This window comes from Homo sapiens, chromosome 10 (genome assembly GCF_000001405.40).
Source record: "Homo sapiens chromosome 10, GRCh38.p14 Primary Assembly".
Classification (NCBI taxonomy): Eukaryota; Metazoa; Chordata; class Mammalia; order Primates; family Hominidae; genus Homo; species Homo sapiens.
In genome coordinates, this window is record NC_000010.11 from 131904019 (window position 1) to 131925928 (window position 21910).

Sequence of the window (21910 nt, forward strand, 5' to 3'; positions counted from 1 at the left end):
TATGGCGAAACCCCATCTCTACTAAAAATACAAAAATTAGCCAGGCGTGGCAGGGCCGGCCTGTAATTCCAGCTCCTCAGGAGACTGAGACAGGAGGATTGCTTAAACCTGGGAGGTGGAGGTTGCAGTGAGGCGAGATGGTGCCATTGCACTCCAGCCTGGGCGTCAGAGCGAGACTCCGTCTCAAAAAAAAAAAAAAAAGGAGAGAGATGGCCGGGCGCAGTGGCTCACGCTTGTAATCCCAGCACTTTGGGAGGCCGAGGCAGGCAGATCACAAGGTCAGGAGATCGAGACCATCCTGGCTAACACGGTGAAACCCCGTCTCTACTAAAAATACAAAAATTAGCCGGGTGTGATGGCGGGCGCCTGCAGTCCCAGCTACTTGGGAGGCTGAGGCAGGAGAATGGCATGAACCCGGGAGGCAGAGCTTGCAGTGAGCCGAGATCGTGCCACTGCACTCCAGCCTGGGCGACAGAGCAAGACTTTGTCTCAAAAAAAAAAAGAGAGATGGGCAGTTCACAGGGGTTTTTATCGTGCACTGCTGCTCAGGCTGTAGAACTTAAGGTATAGCAGATTTTGTTTGTTTAGATTTGTGGCTTGTGAGGCATTTTGTTCTTGAAGGTTTTGTTCTGGGCCAAGTTCAGCTCTGTAGAGCTTTACTACAGCCCTGCACTCTGGCCGTCTTTCTGCCCTCTCTGCAATGGGTAAGGAGAAGGAGCCTTAGAGATTAAGGCCTGGGTCCTCTCCTGACTTCAGTGGGGTGATGCCCAGTGCACAGGAAGTGGTGCAGGGCTAGGAGTAGGCACTCCTGACTTTGGAGGTCATGAAGTGAGTGACATAGAAAAGCCTTTGGTTTTTGTTTTGATTTCTGTTTTGTTTTTAAAACTAATAGTTTTGGGCTGGGGAATCAGAATCAACCTATGGTGAAAGTGCTGGCCTATGTAAAATTTGATGCGCACCCCACCCCCCTTTTTTTTTTAAAAGAATTGGGTTTAGCTATGGGTCAGGTCATTTTGCTAAGAGTTGTGATTCCACTGGGTCATCAGACTTCCCATCCCCCTGCAGGTAGGAGTAGAGCTGAGCTCACAAGGAAGTTATTAAGTGTCCTGCTGATGAGCAGGTGTATAAGCAGCAGTCAGTGGTGACTTGCATCTCCTCCCTTTGCTGGAAGGTGGGACTAGGTGAGTTTATATGCTGAGTTGACCAAGAGTTAAAATAGTAAAACCAGGGGGCTTCCAGCAGGAAGCAAGTAGAAAAGTTGTTTGTTAGCTTCTAATTCCACGATGTTGCGGTTCTAAACGGTGGCTCCTTTCTGGAAATTGTTAACTGTTGTGCAGATTTTTTCTGCATGTTATGGAATCACCTTCACCCAGCCCCTGCTCCCTCTCCTGGAACGTACTTCATTCAGCATGTGATGTGTTTTGCAATGTCACATGGTATTTCATCCTTTGCTTCTCTCTCTGGTAGACTGAGCTCCTCAAGCTTGAAGGCTGGCTGTCCCCCTTCCCACCCCAGCCCTTGTAGAGGACCCAGCACGAAGGTCATGATAGGTAACAGTTGCTGAGTGGTCATTCTGTGCTAGAGATTGCTCGCAGTGCTTTTCCTATGTCAGTGAATCTTCACACCACCGAAGAAGGAAGGAAATACTGTTCTTCCCAGTCTCAGATGCAGAATCCGAGGCGTGGGAGCAATTAACCTGGGTCACAAAGCGAGTGTATGGCAGGGCCAGGGTTTGGAGCCACGCCGACTGGCCGCAGAGCCGTGGAGCGCTGTACTGCTTCAGCGACCATTTGCAGCCAGCACAGTACTGATGAAGCCCCACTGTGGCATGCGGCCGTCCAGCCTTGGGATGGAGCTGTTCTTCTAAAGCTCGGTGAAAATCTTACTACCAAGAGGCGTGTGAAAATGCTTTTGAAGGCAAATGAAAATGGAATGCCTTTAAAGGAAGTCTGTGTCAAAATGATAGAAGATTAGTAACAAGGATTCAAGAATAGCATCACTTTCCAACCAATTCTCAAACTATTTGAAGAGTAGATACCACAGAGACAGTAAGTAAGTGAAACACCTGCACGTCAAGCAAGTGCTGCAGCACCTTTGCCTGTGATGTCACTTTCCACATGACTGCAACCTGCTTACCTGCAGGGAAGCTATGGGTCTTGCTCCTTTATATATTACACTAATTGCTCCTATGGAGAAACCGTGGGGAGGGGTTGGGGGAGGAGGGTCTTATATTGAACCTGGTTTTATATAGCTTTATAGCTTGATAACAGCTGGTTCCTTTCTTCTCAGAATTTGTAGTTTTAAGTGTATTGGGGTTTTATTTGTTGATTTTGCTTTAATCAGTTTCTTAATCCATGATCTGTTGCTTTGAATTAGACATTAACCTGTTTCTAAAGAGATAGACTAAACAAAACTAAAGGTTTGTTTGCTTAAGTCAAGCTTGAGTCTGGGGAGTTATGTAAGTAACATAGATATCTGGTTAATCTGGTAGGATAGCCTTTCCAAGGGAGTTTACATTGGTACTTTGAAAGAAACATTTTAAGTCGCAGAAAGGTAACAAAAATTAAGTTAACTGTAGCATCAGCACCAGAAAGTTACTGTTTCATTGAATGTAAGATAATGTCTGGCTCGGTGGCTCACGCCTGTAGTCTCAGCACTTCAGGAGGCCAAGATGGCAGGATCCCTTGAGCCCAGCAATTTGAGACCAGCCTGGGCAACATAGTGAGATCTTGTCTCTACCAAAAAAAAAAAAAAAAGAAAGAAATTCGGGACGTTTGCCAGGTATGGTAGTACACACCTGTAGTCCCAGCTACTCAGGAGGCTGAGGTGGGGGCATCGCTTGAGCCAGGGAGGTTGAGGCTGCAATGAGCTATGATTGCACCACTGCACTCCAGCCTGGGCAATAGAGTGAGACCTTGTCTCAGAAAAAAGAAAAAATAATAATAATTATATATGTATATATATAATCTTTGAAATTAGGTGTGTCTTTTATATATAATCTCCTATAATGTCTTTTATATGTATATATAAAATCTACATCTAATTTCAGAGATACTAAGATGTGGGGAAATGTACTTAGAATCAATGAAATACGGTGTTGGTGAATGCAAAACTTGTCAGTCATATTTATTGATTTCTTCTGTGTACAGATAATGGGCATTTGGTATTTATTCATTTATATTTTTTTTTTGGTCTTAATGGGACATGGTGTCTGCTTATTTGAATTATTTCCGGTCTGATTTCTATATTCCATTGTAGAATTTTCATTTACTTAATATTTATATCTGTGCCATTGAAGAGAACCTTCAGGAAAGCATCCTCTGGGGAAGGCCATCAAACAAGCAAACAGTCTAGTAATATTTTGCAGTTTGACTTATGAGAGCTTCATAGGAAGCCTCTGCCTTTAGGAAGTCAGTTGTATGCCTTAAGATTCACAGACTCGCCGGGCGCAGTGGTTCACGCCTGTAATCCCAGCACTTTGGGAGGCCGAGGCGGGCGGATCACGAGGTCAGGAGATCGAGACCATCCTGGCTAACAGGGTGAAACCCCGTCTCTACTAAAAAAAATACAAAAAATCAGCTGGGTGTGGTCGCGGGCACCTGTAGTCCCAGCTACTGGGGAGGCTGAGGCAGGAGAATGGCATGAACCCAGGAGGCGGAGCTTGCAGTGAGCGGAGATCACGCCACTGCACCTCCAGCCTGGGCAGCAGAGCGAGACTCCATATCAAAAAAAAAAAAAAAAGATTCACAGACTCATCATGCTTAGTACAGCCACATCTTAACGCTCAGGAGGCTGGCCTGGTCATCGTTACATCGTGAAGTTAAGTTTACAAGATATGTGGTGGTATTGAATCATACCTGGTGATTTTCCACGTTCCCTGATTTTAAGCAGTCTGCTGTTCTGATGGGAAGTTCCAGGTTGGGTTTGTGTCTGCTGTTTTCAACTCTGAGGGCCCCTTTCTGAGCTTCAGCTCGCTTATCTAGAAGTTAAATCAGAAGCTTTTTGTTAAGATCAAACAATGTGCAGTGCTGTTGCAACTTGAAAAGTGCTTTTCAAGTATTAGATACAACTGTTAATTCTCTTGTATTTTAAAGTATTGGGGCTTGGTTTTAGCTATATTTAAACACAAAAATAGCAGTTTCTTGTTTTTCCTTACCTGCTTCATGTCCATCTACCCAGATCCCTTCCACTGGGCCTGGCCTCTTAATGTTTACGTTATTATTCAGTGATTATTCCCATCCCTTGATCTTTGCTCCTGTTTCTTTCTTTGCCTAGAGTATTTATTTTGCTTCCTGTCCATTCCCTAAGCCCTGCTGATCCTTCTAAATCCACCTCCAATCCCACTTGGCGAGTCCCTGCTCCAGCTCCCCTCAGCGTTCAGTGTCGTCTTAGACTCCAGATTTCCCTTTCACACTGTGTTCCATGTTGTTTAGCAATTGGCTGTGTCCTGCTTGTGGTTCCCTTATTTTATCACATGTATTATTAGGCTCGTCTCTCCCACTGGATGTCAGTCAGCATATGGAATGTCATGATATTACCAGGTGATGGAGAGGAATTGTGCACGTGGAATTTGGTACACATCCCTTTTTCACCCTCTTCAGGCTTTGTGTTAACTTGGGAAGTTACTTACTCTTTTCTCATCTGTTAAACGGGTACTATTACTTGTGACCATTACAGGGTTGCTGTGAAGATTCCAGAAAATGTATGGAAAGCTCTGACAAACAAACACGTTAACTGGTAACTGTTCAGAGGCTGTTGTCTTAAGAGACCCTCTTGCATAGGAAAATAGCTGACTCTGTCACTTCAGGGAGCCAGTTTAAGAAAAATGAAGGGTAATGCAGGGGCCAGCTTTCAGCTTGGCACATCTGAAAAGTTCACGACAGCATACCAAAGGGCTGCTAGTGCTGGCTGTTGGAAATAGAAATGCAGTTCTTGCCTTCAGGAAACGCTGTTTGGACACAGACAAGCAGGTGGGTCCTTGCACCATGGCTGGACCAGAGCACACTGAGGCAATGTGAAGAAGTACCCAGTACACAGACTTGGGTAGGGAGTGGAGGGGAGGACATCAGGGTATAAGAAGAGGGAGGAAGGGAAGGGGAGGAGAATGTTCCAGGTGGAGAGTGCTTGGTGTGGAGGTTGGACAGAGCATGGTATGTTCTGAGAGGTCAGTGCTTGGCATGGTCCTCTGGCAGAAAAGGGAGTGGCTGTGATGAGCAGGAGGCTGGCTGGGGCCACAGGATGATGAATAAAGGACTTGAATCGTGTGCTCAGGACTCTGAGTGATTGTGAGCTTTTCAGATCCTAAGCGGAGGAGCGACATCAGCTTTGTTTTTAACAAGGTCACTCTGCCCTTTGGAGAGTGGATGGTGGTGGGTAAGAATGGAGATAGGAAGTTACTGCAATAATAAAGATTGGGAAAATGGGCTTACTCTAGTTTCGGGGTGGCCAAGCTTTTTTGTAAAGGGCCAAATGGTAAGTATCTTAGACTTTCAGGCCATCCTGTCCCTGTTGCAACGACTGAATTCAACTCTGCCTTTAGCAGGAAGACAGCCATAGACCCTGCAGAGATGGATGGGCGTGGCTCTGTGCCCTGCTTCCACAGGAGCATGCCTACAGAAAACAGGCAGCTGGCCAGATGTCGCCCAGGTTGTGGTTTGCTAAACCCTGACCTAGAGTTGGTTTGCAAAGTCTTTTGGTGCTGGAATAATTTTATACTCTTAATAGTTATATTGAGGATCCAGAGAGCCTTTGTTTGTGCTGGTTATCGCTGTTGATGTTTTCTATATTTGAAATTAAAACAGAACAACTTACAATATTTATTTTACTTTAAAAGAATCTACTACATGTTAACATAACCTTTTTAATGAGAAACAACTTTTCAAAAACAAAAAGATTAAGCAAGAAGAACAGTGTTGTTTTACACTTTTGCACATCCTTTTAAAATATGAGGTTTAAGAGGTGACGGCTGGATTCTCAGACCTGCTTCTGCATTCCGTGTGTTCCAGTTGCTTTATTGAAATGTGTAAGGAAAATGTGGCGTCACACTTCCATGTGGGCAGAAGAGGGGTCATCCTGGAGGCTCTTAGCGATGCACCATAACTCGCCAGGTGGCAGCGTGTTTGAGTGTGCCGGCCTTTCGGAGTCAGTGACGTTTCTGTACTCTCTTCCGTCAGAACCCTGAGGTCTGTCTTGTGCTCAGAGTGGGTCTTTTGCTCATGGACATGATTTGGTAACATCACACGGGGGTTGTTTGGAAATATTGTTACATGGAGTTGTTTTTTTTTCTAAATGTTAACACATTCCATTATGTAAACTTGAAGAAAATCCTATTTTTTAATGTCATCACTGATCTCATCAGAAGAAAAAGTGAGAAACTGTCAAATTAGCAGTAGTAGAGAAAAGTTTTCCAAAATTCTAATTTTCTCTTGAAAGCTTGGATTTTATCATTGGTAACAAATACTGTCAGTTACTTTCTGTGAAGTGAGGGACGCAGTGTGTTCATTTTCAAGTCAATTTCTGCCAGATACCAAATTCTTAATAACCAAAGTTGGTCAGTTGTTCTTTCAAATAAAAATGGCATTCCATGAAAAAAAGGGCTAGTTCAGCTTGTGTGATACTGTGGAATATGTATTTGGTCTTCCCTAGTACACAACTCCTAAAATCCTCGGGCTCGTCAGTGATGTCTTCGTAATGCGTTGGCTAAGGGCCGGCAACCCCTGGGTAGCTTCAGAACAGGGGCTGGTCACCAGAAAGACCTAGGCAGGATTAGAAGGTTGGGACTTTCAGCCCCGATCCCCAACCTCGGGGAGTGGTGAGGGGTGGGGGAGCTGAAGGTTAAGCTGATCACCAGTGGCCAAACAGTCTTGCCTATGTATGGACTGGGTTTGAAGATAGCTTCCAGATGTTTCTGGAGGGGGGCCCACCCAGAGAGGACACGGGAGCTCTGTGTCTCAGCCCCCGTCCCTCGCCCTGTGCATCACCTCAGTGTCCTCTGTAGTCTCCTTTATAATAAACCGCTAAACTAAAGTGTTTCCCTGAGATCTGCGTGCTCAGTGAGGGTTGTGGACACTCTGATTGATAGCCAGTCAGTCAGAAGCACAAGTAACACAACCTGAGGCTTGCCGTTGGCTCTCGAAGTGGGGGGCAGTCTTGTGGGACAGAGCACTCAACCTATGGGATTTGATGCTTTCTCCCAGCATCAAGATTTAATGGAATCAGGACCCCAGCCAGTGTCCGGCTGCAGAACTGACTGCTTCCTTGCTGCTGGGGAGAGGTCCCCACACCTCTGGTGTCCTAAGTGTGCTGTGAGGATGTGATGGGAGAAACTGAATTTTGTTTTTTGTTTTTCAACCCCAACAACTGTACCGTGTGCTTTTTCTTGAGACAGTTGTACTTGGGGATGCAGCAAAAGTTCTTTTGTGGCACATTTTATCACAGGGTTGGAATTGAATAAAGTGGTGAATTATTTTAACTGTTCATCAGGGAATAAGCTAAGCAAAACTGGCCTTTTTCCTTTTTCTTTCCCTTTTCCCTGCCTGTGCAGGGCGTGGAGAGGAGAGCTCGGGGCTGCTGCCACAGATCATGCTGAGCCGCCAGCAGCTCCACCTGCCCTTGGCTTTGCTCATCCGTGGAAATGACAACAGCGTGAAAACGGCAGATGATGTACAAGGATTATGATGAAAATAGTCTTGACCTCACGGACCCTCTGAGAGGTTCTTGACCGTTGCACCCTCAAGGGCCCACAGACCGCACTTTGAGAACTGCTGCTTGAATGCAAGCTATTAGCAGTAGGAGTGTCAAGGACAGGGCAGACTTCAGGATTAACTGTTCCTTCTCATCTTTACCAGATTGTACTGGTTTTGTCTCAAAATACAAAAATAGAGTGTTTATTATGTAAAGAAAATCAAATGATAGAACAGCTGAGAACAGCTGGATCAAGAGCACAGAGCGGAAGTTCCTCTTCATCCCACTGCTGTCCTGGAGTCTTCCTCAGGACCCACTGCTCCTAACTGTATCTTTGTAGATCATTTTCTATGTGTTTATTTATTTATATTTTAAAACCTAGTTTGTGTATAAGCAATCTTTTTTAATCCACAAATGTGGAATCTTATTCTAGACTTTGAATAAGATTTTCTGTATTAGTCAGTATTGTTTTTTGCTACTTCTTTTCCTTTCCTTTCCTTTTTTGGAAATAGGGTCTTACTCCTCTGTCACCCAGGCTGGAGTGCAGTGGTGCGATCAGAGCTCACTGCAGCCTGATCAGGCTCAAGCAATCCTCTCCCTGCTCAGCCTCCTGAGTAGCTGGAACTATAGGCTTGCACTGCCATGCCCAGCTTTTTTCTATTTTTTGTAGAGACAGGGTTTTGCTGTGTTGCCCAGGATGGTCTTGAACTCCTGGACTCAAGTGATCCTCCCACCTCGGCCTCCCAAAATGCTGGGAATACAAGCATGAGCCATGGCATGTGGCCGCCACTTGCCTTTTTTCATTAAGAGTCTATAATTGGAGATCTTACAGGGAACTGGGCTTTCTGCTCAGCCATACTCGAGCTCATTTGACCCCCGGCCACTGCCCCTTGAAATGTAAGTACTACTGTGTTGCCTTCATCATACACATGAGACGATCAAGTATCAGGAAGATGAAGTTACTTGGTGAAGGTCTCAGAGCTAATAGGTGCTATACCCATTATTTGCATGCAGACATTCTGAGTCCAGAGCCCATACTTAAGTTTTTAACCAGGCTGCCTTTTTATGTGGCTCATTTTATCCTTTTTGATGGCTGCATAGTATTCCCTTAGTTATTTAGTCCACTGTTTCTAATGACAGTGCAGGAGAGTCTCGTCCATCCTTCTGCCCTTCCTGGGTGGCAGACATCCAGGAGTGGGTACACGGTGTCAGAGGCTGTGCACATTTCTTGTTTCTATTCTTTGAATTGCTTTGATTACATCTTTTGTCCATTTTTCTGCTGAACTTAAAAAAGTCAGTCTGTAAAAGTGGTTTTTTTGGTTTGTGTGTTTGTTTTTTTGAGATGAAATCTCGCTCTGTCACCCAGGCTGGAGTGCAGTGGCACTATCTCGGCTCACTGCAACCTCCGCTTCCCAGGTTCAAACGGTTCTCCTGCCTCAGCCTCCCGAGGTGTGATTACAGGGATGCCACCATGCCCGGCTAATTTTTTTTTTTTTTTTTTGTATTTTTAGTAGAGTTGGGGTTTCACCATGTTGGCCAGGCTGGTCTCGAACTCCTGAGCTCAAGTGATCCGCCCACCTCGGCCTCCCAAAGTGCTGGGATTACAGTTGTGAGCCACCGCACCCAGCTTGTAAAAGTTCTTTATGCATTATGAATATTAGTCTCCTGAGTTTTTAAAAATTGTTGACCTTGAGTTTTAATTCCTCTGCCCCCATTCCACACTCTCCTCTCCGAGTACAGCTGAATTTATTATACATGTGTCTTTGACTAGATTTTTTGTATTGCTGTTGCTACTCTGGAAATGAAGAAAAAGGGCTGAGATCCATGTTTGGGTCAGTAATGGGGTGGAAGAGGAATAATGTGTGGGACAAAAGGCGATTGGTGAATTGAACTGAAATATCATGTGAGGCTTAATGATGGGGGTGGATATTTTCTGAGCAATGTGTCGTTAGGCGATTTTGGCATGCGAGCATCTGAGAGTACACTTACCAAGCCCAGGTGGTAGGGCTCACTCCGTTACAGGCCTCCATTATTGTCTCATGGGAACGCCATGGCAGGTGTGGACTGTCAGGAGTTTAGAGCTCAGAGGCAGGGGCAACCATGAAAACAGGCAATCCTGGAGTAGTGACAGAAGTCTTGCTAATGATGTTAGATATCTCAGAGCATGAAAGAGACTTGAGCTTATTTTATCTGGATCTCCAGAGATGATAAAACCACAACTAAAATAGGAATGCAGCCGTGTGAAGACACAGGCTGTGCTGATCTTTTTCTGTATCGTGCACAACACCTACCACTGCACCGGCACACAGGAAGGGCTTTTATGAATTCTTGGGTGAGTCACCATACCTGCCTGAAAGGGGCAGCAGGTTTGCTGATAATTAGCAACATTTGAGTGAAAAAAACACAGACAATAGGTCTGCATGTTTAACCGCATCTAATGGCTGGTTTGTTTTAAGTGGGTGGTGAGTAAAAGAGTTAACATTAATCATCATAGAAATGGTATTAATGAGCAAAGATATGACCGGCCTCACACCTGTAATCCCAGCACTTTGGGAGGCCAAGGCAGGAGGATCCCTTGAGCCCAGGAGGTCAAGGCTGCTGTGAGCTGTGATCACACCACTGCATTCCAGCCTGGGAACAGAGTGGACCCTGTCTCAAATAAGCAAAGACATTCTAATTAAAGCAATAATAATGTTCCATTTTTCCTAGTCATTTCTGGAAGGAGTGTCTGTACACTCATTTTTTGGAGGGTAATTTGACATTTCTCTCTCAAACTTAACACAAGGGTTAGGACCCCAAGGTTCCACTTGTAGGAATCCTACAGGAAATAGGCCAGCATTTCAGAAAGATGTGCACTGCAGTGATACAACGTTGAAAACACTAAATGCCTAAAAGTAGTGAGGCGGTTACATGTGTTAGAACACACACTTTGTGGAGTAAGAGTGTTCTGGGCCCCTCGGAGAGCAGTCTGTGACACATTGGGTGAAAACAGCAGCTTTTGCAGAAGAACGGTGACCCCAGGCGAAGCTGAGTGTGGTTGTAAATGCTGCTCTGGAAAGCAGATATCCAGGGGTGACATCGGGGGTGCCTGTGGGGAAAGGGTGGTCACGCCTCACTGAACAGAGACTTTGGCTTTTATTCTGCACATTTCTGTATTATTTTATGTTCCACACCAAGAATGCATTGTTTGTAGGTATAAGGAGAAAAGTGCCCTTAAGAAAAGGTAAAGAGGGAGTTCTAGCAACTCGAAGGAGGAAGGTTTTTCTCTCCGTGCACCCCTAATAGTGACTCAGCACTGCTTAGCACCCCACCTTCTGTTGTGCTCCGGTTTTCTGGAATTTTAATGGTTTTAGGCTGCCATTTTGTCATGTTTGAAAATACCTTAAATTTTTTTTTTTTAATTTCAATAGTTCTGTTCCAGAATCTAGAATGGCGAAGTAGTATCCCTAAAAGAGTATTCATTACAAAAGCTCTAGTACATAACTAGATTTAAAAGAAAGCAAAACAAAAACTCAGCTAGTAATAATGATTGAAAAGGGGGGATTCGTGCCTTACGTGTACCAGTGCGTTTGTAAACGTTCCTGGCTTTCGTAGGCATTGAAGGCTGCGTCTCAGCTTTGCTCCCGTCCTTTGCAGTAACCTGTGTACGGGAGGCTCCGTTGTTTGCCACCTCACATTGGGATAGGTTGCTTTTAGAATAAATAATTATGTATTATTTGCATAAAATAAATAAACACCCACATACTCCACACTTAACAACGGTCCATCTTGTTTTGGGTTTTTGAAGAGATGAAGGCTACGGTCATGTTGAGGCTGTCCATCTCCGTTTTAACTCCCCAACTCCGTTGCCCGCACTCCTTCCTCACTGGAGGCACTGTCTGTGAAATTGGTTCATAGCCTGTCCCTGCTCTTGAGTGTTTATCCAAATAGATCCATGGGTTGCCTTTTATCAGACAGAGGCCGATGGGGAATTGCAGCTCTGCCGTGGCCGCGCTTCTCCAGCTCCCTGCAACTTTGTCAGACCCTAGAGATCTGTTCAGTGTCACAGGTCACATTTCTTAGATGTTGACTTCGTTTATGGTAACAGATAGATGTTGTTAAAGGCATCTGAAATATTAGATAATCGTTGAAGTAGTATTAACCAAAATTATTAATCTCCTCTGCCATAGAGCCCCGGTTAAGTTCAGGTGTGTAATAGTGATCTTAAAATGGAGAGAATGAGAAAGTTTTTACTTTAACCATTCTCAATTTGCTTACTGTTCATTAAAGAATTCAGTAGTAAAAGGCGTAATCTATTTGGATTATGAAGGTATCAGCATACGGCTTTCTGTGTACGCCCTAAAGTACTGATCACAGTCAAATATGTCGTAGGTAAAATAGTAACCATAGAAATCCATTAAATGTCTGCTGCTGGGTTATTTAAAAAGTAGATGGAACCTTTCTCTGGCCACGCGCCCTGATAACCTCCGTGTTCCCCGCAGGACAGGCTGTGGTGGAGGCGCACACACAGCACCCAGAGGCGGGCTCTGTGGAGTTCGCATCTATATGTCAGCAACTTAGGGTGGTTTGGGCCATGTTTCACTTGACCTACAGAGAGAAATGTGACACCCAGGTTGGCATAGATTGGGATTTTTTTTTTTTTTTTGAGGTCTAGGAATTTTTTTTAATTGTGGTAAAATATACATGGCATAATATTTATCATTTTAGCCGTTCATAAGTGTACAGTTGCGTGGTGGTAAATGCACTTACAGTGTTGTGTAGCTATCACCACTACCTGTTCCCAAAACAACTTCCTCATTACCAACACAACTTTGTCCTATTAAACAATAACTCCCCTTCTCCCCTTCCCCGGCCCCTGGCGACCACCATTCTACTTTCTGTCTCTGAATTTGCCCAGTCTAGGGACCTCAGGCGGGTGGAATGACACAGCGTTTGTAGGGACCTCAGGCGGGTGGAATGACACAGTGTTTGTAGGGACCTCAGGCAGGTGGAATGACATAGTGTTTGTAGGGACCTCAGGCAGGCGGAATGACACAGTGTAGGGACCTCAGGCGGGTGGAATGACACAGTGTAGGGACCTCACGCAGGTGGAATGACACAGTGTTTGTAGGGACCTCAGTCGGGTGGAATGACAGTGTTTGTAGGGACCTCAGGCGGGTGGAATGACAGTGTTTGTAGGGACCTCACGCAGGTGGAATGACACAACGTTTGTAGGGACCTCAGGCGGGTGGAATGACACAGCGTTTGTAGGGACCTCAGGTGGGTGGAATGACACAGTGTAGGGACCTCAGGTGGGTGGAATGACACAGTGTAGGGACCTCACGTGGGTGGAATGACACAGTGTAGGGACCTCAGGCGGGTGGAATGACACAGTGTTTGTAGGGACCTCACACGGGTGGAATGACACAGTGTTTGCAGGGACCTCACGTGGGTGGAATGACACAGTGTAGGGACCTCAGGCGGGTGGAATGACACAGCGTTTGTAGGGACCTCAGGTGGGTGGAATGACACAGTGTAGGGACCTCAGGCGGGTGGAATGACACAGTGTTTGTAGGGACCTCAGGCGGGTGGAATGACACAGTGTTTGTAGGGACCTCAGGCAGGTGGAATGACACAGTGTAGGGACCTCAGGCGGGTGGGATGACACAGTGTAGGGACCTCACGCAGGTGGAATGACACAGTGTAGGGACCTCAGTCGGGTGGAATGACAGTGTTTGTAGGGACCTCAGTCGGGTGGAATGACAGTGTTTGTAGGGACCTCAGGCGGGTGGAATGACAGTGTTTGTAGGGACCTCACACGGATGGAATGACACAGTGTTTGTAGGGACCTCAGGCGGGTGGAATGACACAGTGTTTGTAGGGACCTCAGGCGGGTGGAATGACAGTGTTTGTAGGGACCTCACGTGGGTGGAATGACACAGTGTAGGGACCTCAGGCGGGTGGAATGACACAGTGTAGGGACCTCATGTGGGTGGAATGACAGTGTAGGGACCTCAGGCGGGTGGAATGACACAGTGTAGGGACCTCACGTGGGTGGAATGACACAGTATAGGGACCTCAGGCGGGTGGAATGACACAGTGTAGGGACCTCACGTGGGTGGAATGACACAGTGTAGGGACCTCAGGCGGGTGGAATGACACAGTGTTTGTAGGGACCTCACACGGGTGGAATGACACAGTGTTTGCAGGGACCTCACGTGGGTGGAATGACACAGTGTAGGGACCTCAGGCGGGTGGAATGACACAGTGTTTGTAGGGACCTCACACGGGTGGAATGACACAGTGTTTGCAGGGACCTCACGTGGGTGGAATGACACAGTGTAGGGACCTCAGGCGGGTGGGATGACACAGTGTTTGTAGGGACCTCAGGCGGGTGGAGTGACACAGTGTTTGTAGGGACCTCAGGCGGGTGGAATGTCAGTGTTTGTAGGGACCTCAGGCGGATGGAATGACACAGTGTAGGGACCTCACGTGGGTGGAATGGCACAGCGTTTGTAGGGACCTCAGGCAGGTGGAATGACACAGTGTTTGTAGGGACCTCAGGCAGGTGGAATGACACAGTGTTTGTAGGGACCTCAGGCGGGTGGAATGACACGGTGTAGGGATCTCACGTGGGTGGAATGACACAGTGTTTGTAGGGACCTCAGGCGGGTGGAATGACACAGTGTTTGTAGGGACCTCAGGCGGGTGGAATGACACAATGTAGGGATCTCACATGGGTGGAATGACACAGTGTTTTTAGGGACCTCACACGGGTGGAGTGACACAGTGTTTGTAGGGACCTCAGGCGGGTGGAATGACAGTGTTTGTAGGGACCTCAGGCCGGTGGAATGACACAGTGTAGGGATCTCACGTGGGTGGAATGACACAGTGTTTGTAGGGACCTAACGCGGGTGGAGTGACAGTGTTTGTAGGGACCTCAGGCAGGTGGAATGACACAGTGTTTGTAGGGACCTCAGGCGGGTAGGATGACACAGTGTAGGGACCTCACGCGGGTGGAATGACAGTGTTTGTAGGGACCTCAGGCGGGTGGAATGACACAGTGTTTGTAGGGACCTCACACGGGTGGAATGACACAGTGTTTGTAGGGACCTCACGCGGGTGGAATGACACAGTGTGGGGACCTCACGGGGGTGGAATGACACAGTGTAGGGACCTCAGGCGGGTGGAATGACACAGTGTAGGGACCTCACATGGGTGGAATGGCACAGCGTTTGTAGGGACCTCAGGCGGATGGAATGACACAGTGTAGGGACCTCAGGCGGGTGGAATGACACAGTGTTTGTAGGGACCTCAGGCGGGTGGAATGACACAGTGTTTGTAGGGACCTCAGGCGAGCGGGATGACACAGTGTAGGGACCTCAGGCGGGTGGAGTGACACAGTGTTTGTAGGGACGTCAGGCGGCTGGAATGACAGTGTAGGGACCTCAGGCGGGTGGAATGACACAGTGTAGGGATCTCACGTGGGTGGAATGACACAGTGCTTGTAGCGACCTCAGGCGGGCGGAATGACACAGTGTAGGGACCTCAGGCGGGTGGAATGACAGTGTAGGGACCTCACGTGGGTGGAATGGCACAGCGTTTGTAGGGACCTCAGGCAGGTGGAATGACACAGTCTTTGTAGGGACCTCAGGCGGGTGGAATGACAGTGTAGGGACCTCACGTGGGTGGAATGGCACAGCGTTTGTAGGGACCTCAGGCAGGTGGAATGACACAGTCTTTGTAGGGACCTCAGGCGGGTGGAATGACACAGTGTAGGGATCTCGCGTGGGTGGAATGACACAGTGTTTGTACGGACCTCAGGTGGGTGGAATGACACAGTGTTTGTAGGGACCTCAGGCGGGTGGAATGACACAATGTAGGGATCTCACGTGGGTGGAATGACAGTGTTTGTAGGGACCTCAGGCGGGTGGAATGACACAGTGTTTGTAGGGACCTCAGGCGGGTAGGATGACACAGTGTAGGGACCTCACGCGGGTGGAATGACAGTGTTTATAGGGACCTCAGGCCGGTGGAATGACACAGTGTTCGTAGGGACCTCACGTGGGTGGAATGACAGAGTGTAGGGACCTCACGTGGGTGGAATGACACAGTGTAGGGACCTCAGGCGGGTGGAGTGACAGTGTTTGTAGGGACCTCAGGTGGGTGGAATGACACAGTGTTTGTAGGGACCTCATTCAGGTGGGATGACGCAGTGTAGGGACCTCAGGCGGGTGGAATGACACAGTGTTTGTAGGGACCTCACACGGGTGGAATGACACAGTGTTTGTAGGGTCCTCAGGCGGGTGGAATGACACAGTGTTTGTAGGGACCTCAGTCGGGTGGGATGACACAGTGTAGGGACCTCAGGCGGGTGGAATGACACAGTGTTTGTAGGGATCTCACACGGGTGGAATGACAGTGTTTGTAGGGACCTCACGCGGGTGGAATTACACAGTGTAGGGACCTCACGTGGGTGGAATGACACAGTGTTTGTAGGGACCTGACGTGGGTGGAATGACACAGTATAGGGACCTCACGCGGGTGGAATGACACAGTGTTTGTAGGGACCTGACGTGGGTGGAATGACACAGTGTAGGGACCTCACACAGGTGGAATGACACAGTGTAGGGACCTCACGCGGGTGGAGTGACACAGTGTAGGGACCTCAGGCAGGTGGAATGACACAGTGTAGGGACCTCACGTGGGTGGAGTGACACAGTGTAGGGACCTCACGCGGGTGGAATGACACAGTGTTTGTGGGGACCTCACGTGGGTGGAAGGACATAATGACATAGTGTTTGTCCACTTGTGTCTGGCATATTTCACTACACATGATGTTTCAAAGGCTCAGCCATATTGTAGCATATGTCAGAATTTCATTCCTTTTTTTGGCAGAATTAGATGTGGATTTTTGATGTAGGAGGTACGTTTCTAACCTACTTTTGTTTATTTAAAAAATTATTGCTGGGCACAGTATCTCACGCCTGTAATCCCAGCACTTTGGGAGGCTGAGGTGAGTGGATCACCTGAGGTCAGGAGTTGGGAGATCAGCGTGGCCAACATGGTGAAACCCCGTTGCTACTAAAAATACAAAAATTTGCTGGGCACAGTGGTGCATACCTGTAATCTCAGCTACTCAGGAGGCTGAGGCAGGAGAATCACTTGAACCCGGGAGGTGGAGGAGGTTGCAGTGGGCCAAGATTGCGCCACTGTGCTCCAGCCTGGGCAACATAGCGAGACCCTGTCTTTACAAAAAGTGAAACAGGAATCTCAGGGTTGTGTGTGTTTCTAATAAATGTTAATAGAAGATGAATTTCAGGAACAAGTTATTGGGAGAGAAACATTAGCAGCTTTGTTTTGCTAATATGATGGGCTAGGTTCAAGGATCATTTCCTAAAGTTTGAGATGTGCTTTTCCCCTTTTGATACCAGCTCTCAGAGTGATGATCGTTTCTGTATAGGCAAGGGAAATACTTGTCACTGCCTTCTTGCTAGTTTGACTGACTCTGAAATACTTAAAGATAGTTGTATTTGTTGTTGCATGTCTAGATCTGCCACGGGGGAGAGGCCAGAGAGGCTTTGCTGACGTGCAGGGAGTGACCGGGGGAATGTCCCAGCCTCACTTTGCAGGTGCAGTTGAGAAGGCACCATGAGTAAAGGCGCTGCCCCACGCACCCAGGGTCCTAAGGCTTCGGCAGTTAAGAGTTCATCCGTTGCCATTTGATGAGGGCTCTGGGAGTCAAAAGGCTTCCCTGAACAAGGAACCCTTGAGCTCAGATGCAAATGAGGGATGGGCCTGGACCGGGATGGGGGATGGGAGGAGCCTGCAAAGGGGAGAGAGGGTGGGAGGACTTGACATGGGAGAAGAACAGGCTGGGGCAATGGGGTGTGAAAGCAAAGGGAGTAAGATGAGCATTTTGGTCTTTACTAAGGGCAGTGAGGATTCAAAACAGCATGGTTGGATTTGAGTTTAAAAAATAGAACTCACTGGCTGCAGTGTGCGGAGGTGGGCTGGAATCCATTTTTGCTCAGTTGGGGAGAGTGTATTTTTAATTTTCCAAAGTGACTATGTTGGTGATTGTGTCAGAGCCCCTGGCCTGTCGTTGGTGGTTATAAAGCGCTTTTGATTTGCCTGTAAATCAGAGTCTACCATGGCTCACATAGTTATTTGCAAAAAGAACTTCTAAGCATGAAATTGAGCATAAAATTGCCTAGGAGTAATTCAGTTTGCTTAATATGTTTGAGAGAAAGGTTAATATATTCAGTCAGACAGCCTTTTGTTTTTGGATAAAGACGTTCTCATTTTTCAGCATGGCATGAGGGAAATAGCCTGGAATATTCTCAGTAAATCAGATTTTCCTTGAAAAGAGTGGCCCTACCTCTCATAGACTTCAACGGCAGTGGTTTAATATGGTTCCCAAATTCTGAAGTCTTCTGAAATTTGTTAGACAAAGCAAGACTTAACGATCACAGCATGATGCAAATACTAATTTTCCGAGTAAAACACAATAAAAGATTGACCGTTTCTCTCTCATGTCATTTACGTATGTCTATGACTGTGAGAACTAAAGTGGCCGTATTTACAGTAAGGTAACTATTGTTAATGCTGATGTATTCTTGAGAAATAAAAAGAGTGAATGTTAAGTATTCCTCATCACAAAAAGGAGTTATGTGGGCTAATACATTTGTTAATTAGCTAAATTTAATTGTTCCACAATGTATGTATACTTTAGACATCATGTTGTACATGATACATACTTATCTGTCAATTGTTTTTTTTTTTTTTTTGAGACAGAATCTCACACTGTCACCCGGGCTGGAGTGCAGTGGCTTGATCTCAGCTCACTGCAGCCTCTGCCTCCCAGGTGCACACGATTCTCCTGCCTCAGTCCCCCGAGTAGCTGGGATTACAGGTGCACACCACCACACTTGGATAATTTTTTATATTTTTAGTAGAGTTTCTCTATGTTGGCCAGGCTGGTCTTGAACTCCTGACCTCGTGATCCGCCTGCCTCGGCCTCTCAAAGTGCTGGGATTACAGGCATGAGCTACTGCGCCCGGCCATTATCTGTCAATTTTTTTCTTAAAAAAAATTGGAAAGTAGCCAAAAAGAAAACAAAGTCCCTTTAGGTTTAAATAGGAAAATGAATTTAGTAATTTGTGGAAAACAAATTTATATCAGATTTTTGTTTGTTGGTTATTTTTAAAACTTGGAATAATTTAGTCTACTTTTAGAGTGTATTTGAGAATGGTTGCAAGTTGTGAGGCCCTTTTAGTGACTTGATCCATTTGTTTTTATGGGGTAGTTTTACTTACAACAGCTTTTGAGCTGTAATTCATTGAGCACAGAGCTCATCCTTTGTGAAGTGTGCGGGTGAATATTCAGTTTTGTGGCCATCTGAATTGGATAATTCTAGAACCTTTCCATCACCCCTAAAAGAAACCCACTAGCAGTCCCTCCCATTCCCTCCACCCTCTGCCCTCTGGTAACCACTGATTACTTTGTTTCTGTGGATTTGCCTGTTCACGTGTCATGTAAATGGAGTCATGGCCCACGTGTCCCTCTGCTCCCCGGCTGCTTCTCCCCAGCGTGATGCCGGTCAAGGCATATCCTGCAGCATGCGTCAGTCCTCCCTCCTTTCCTGGTCAAACAGTTTTCCATTTTTGTTTATCCGTTAGTTGATGGGTTGTTCCTAGTTTTTGGCTCTTTCAAATGCACCTGTGGACATTCTTGTACATGTTTTTGTATAGACATGTGTTTTCTGTGCTCTTGGGTATATTCCTGGGAATGGAGCTTGGTCATATGGCAACTGTGTTTAATGTATTTGTGGAACTGCCAAACAGTTTCCCAAGGTGGCTGCAACATTTTGTAATCCCGCCGTCAATGTATGAACAGTTTTTCTTCACCTACGCTTGTTATTGTCTGTCTAATTTTAGCCATCCTAATAGTTGTGAACTGGTATCTGGTGGTTTTGATTTGTATTTCCCTAGTGATTAATGGTGTTGAGCATTTCCTGTGCTTATTTGGACATTTATATATATATATTTTTGGAAAATTACATTTTCAATTGGCTTGTCTTTTTATTTTATTTATTTTAGAGACAGGGTCTTGCTCTGTCACCCAGGCTAGAGTGCAGTGGTGCTGTCATAGCTCACTGTTAACTCCTGGGCTCAAGCGATTCTCCTGCCTCAGCCTCCCAAGTAGCTGGGACTGCAGATACACACCACCACAGCCGGCTAACTTTTAAAAAATTTTTGATAGAGATTGGGTCTTGCTGTGTTGCCCAGGCTGGTCTTGAATTCCTGGGGTTACAGTGTTAGCCACCGTGCCCGGGCCTTTCTTTTTATTGTTGTAAGAGTTCTTCAGGTATTCTGGATACAAGTCCCTTATCAGATACATAATTTGCAAACAATTCCTCCCATTCCATGAGTTGTGTTTTCAGTCTCTTGATGGTGTCCTTAGATGCACAAGAATTTTTAATTTTGATGGTGTCCACCTTATTTTTTTCTTTCAGAAGTTTGTGCTTTTGGTATTATATGTAAGAGACCACTGTCTAATCCAAGATTGTGAAGATTTATTCATTTAGCTCTTACATTTAGGTCTCTGATCCATGTTTATATATAATTATATATAGAATTTATGTGCAGTTAATTACATTTATATATAATTTTTATATGTGGTGTTAAGGGTTCAGCTTTTTTCTTTTGCATGTGGATATTTAGATGTCCTGGCATCATTGTTGAAATAGTATTCTTTTACCATTAATTGTCCTGGTACACTTGTTGAAAATCAGTTGACCGTAAGTGTCCTTCTAGACTCTGACCTCTGATCCATTGGTCTATATGTCTGTCCTCATGCCAATACCATACTGTCTTGGTTACTATAGCTTTATGGTAAGGTTTGAAATCAGGAAGTGTCAGTCTTCCTCCTCTGCTCTTTTTAAAGATCATTTTGGCTATTCTGAGTCCCTTGCACTTCCATATGATTCTAGAATTAGTTTGGCAATTTTTGCAAAAAAAAAAAAAGGCAGCTGGGATTTTCATAGGGTTAATACCTTGACTATTGTAGAACACTTTGGAGATACTTTCTTAAGTTTTCCAATCGTGACACAGGATAACTTTCTGTATATTCAGGTCTTTAATTTTTTTTTTTACAATATTTTGCAGTTTTCAATGTACAAATCTTGTCATTCTTTGATTAAATTTATTCCTAAGTATTTATTCTTTTTGATGATATTGTAAACAGAGTTGTTTTCTTGCTTTTATTTCTGAATTTTTCATTGCTAGGTGTAGAAATGCAGTTGACTTTATTGGCCTTGCATCCTGTGTCCTTGCTGAACCTGTTTATTATCTCTGATAGGTTTTGTGTTTGTGGATTCCTTAGGATTTCCTGTATACAATATAATGCCATCTGTGAATAGAGATATGTTACTCCTTTTTAATCTGGATGCCTTTTATTTATTTTCTTTGCTTAACTGCCCCAGCTAGAATTTCCAGTAGAATGTTTACTAGAAGTTAGCAAATCAAACATCCTTGTCTTGTTCCTGCTTTTAGGGGAAAAGCCTTCAGACTCATCATGAAGTGTGATGTTAGCTGTGGTTTTTTAGGTACTCTTTGTCAAGTTGAGGAAGTTGCATTTTATTCTTAGTTGGTTGAGTGTTTTTATCATGAAAAGGTGTTGGATTTGTTAAATGCTTTATCTGCATTTATTGAGATGACCATGTGGTCTTTGTCCTTTAATGTTATTAGTATGGTGTATTACATTGATTTGTTTTTGTATGTTAAACCAACCTTGCATTCCTAGGATATGGTATACTTCTCATATTTCAAAAATATTGTTTGTTCCTGTAGCAGAGAAATTTTTAGTTCTTTCTGACTTCTGTATTTTAGAATAATTTGCCACAAACTTTTTTTTAGTGCTTAAGTGACTAGAAAGTAGTATGCAGAATTTTCTATTTTGTCACATTTTATCCAGTCTAGTCATAATGATGCAAGATTTTTTTTGCTCCTTAGTTCAGCTAAATTCAGCTTCTTGTCTTGCAACCAGGAAAAATTAGGCATGCGGATACATTGAAGGGTGAGGAGGCAGAATTTATTAAGCAAAAGGAAAGCTCTCAGCAAAGATAGGGATTCTCCAAGCAGGTTTCCCCCTCACAAATTGAATACGAGGCCACCACGCAGAGGTTGAAGAAGCCAGGCCCCTCCCCAGCATAAGGTGCATATTCCTAGTGGCTCCGCCCCGTTTT

At 45.5% G+C, this 21910-nt stretch overlaps 1 protein-coding gene across 5 annotated transcripts in view, besides 4 other annotated features; it reads left to right on the forward strand.

Annotated features, from left to right (window-relative positions):
• PPP2R2D (protein phosphatase 2 regulatory subunit Bdelta) overlaps positions 1 to 21910 on the forward strand; it is a 70526-nt gene that overhangs the window by 3011 nt on the left and 45605 nt on the right. The window contains exon 3 of one of the 5 annotated variants that reach the window (NM_001291310.2): positions 7544 to 8580. The exons of the other annotated variants lie outside the window; for them this stretch is intronic. The gene's annotated coding sequence lies outside the window, so the exon portion shown is untranslated. The remainder of the gene's footprint in view (positions 1 to 7543; positions 8581 to 21910) is intronic. 5 annotated transcript variants of the gene reach the window in all.
• Positions 17295 to 17344: an enhancer, noted in NCBI's record as "active region_4221". NCBI's record gives its function as "activates an Ori minimal core promoter by ATAC-STARR-seq in GM12878 lymphoblastoid cells {active_cell/tissue: GM12878}" and the evidence as "EXISTENCE:reporter gene assay evidence [ECO:0000049][PMID:35858748]".
• Positions 17295 to 17601: a biological region, named in NCBI's record as "Sharpr-MPRA regulatory region 4393".
• Positions 17307 to 17601: a silencer, noted in NCBI's record as "tiled region #4393; K562 Repressive DNase matched - State 5:Enh". NCBI's record gives its function as "represses a minimal TATA promoter and a strong SV40 promoter by Sharpr-MPRA in K562 cells {active_cell/tissue: K562}" and the evidence as "EXISTENCE:reporter gene assay evidence [ECO:0000049][PMID:27701403]".
• Positions 17396 to 17579: a silencer, noted in NCBI's record as "fragment chr10:133734918-133735101 (GRCh37/hg19 assembly coordinates)". NCBI's record gives its function as "represses an EF-1alpha promoter that drives an FKBP-Casp9 reporter gene in an ReSE screen in HepG2 liver carcinoma cells {active_cell/tissue: HepG2}" and the evidence as "EXISTENCE:reporter gene assay evidence [ECO:0000049][PMID:32094911]".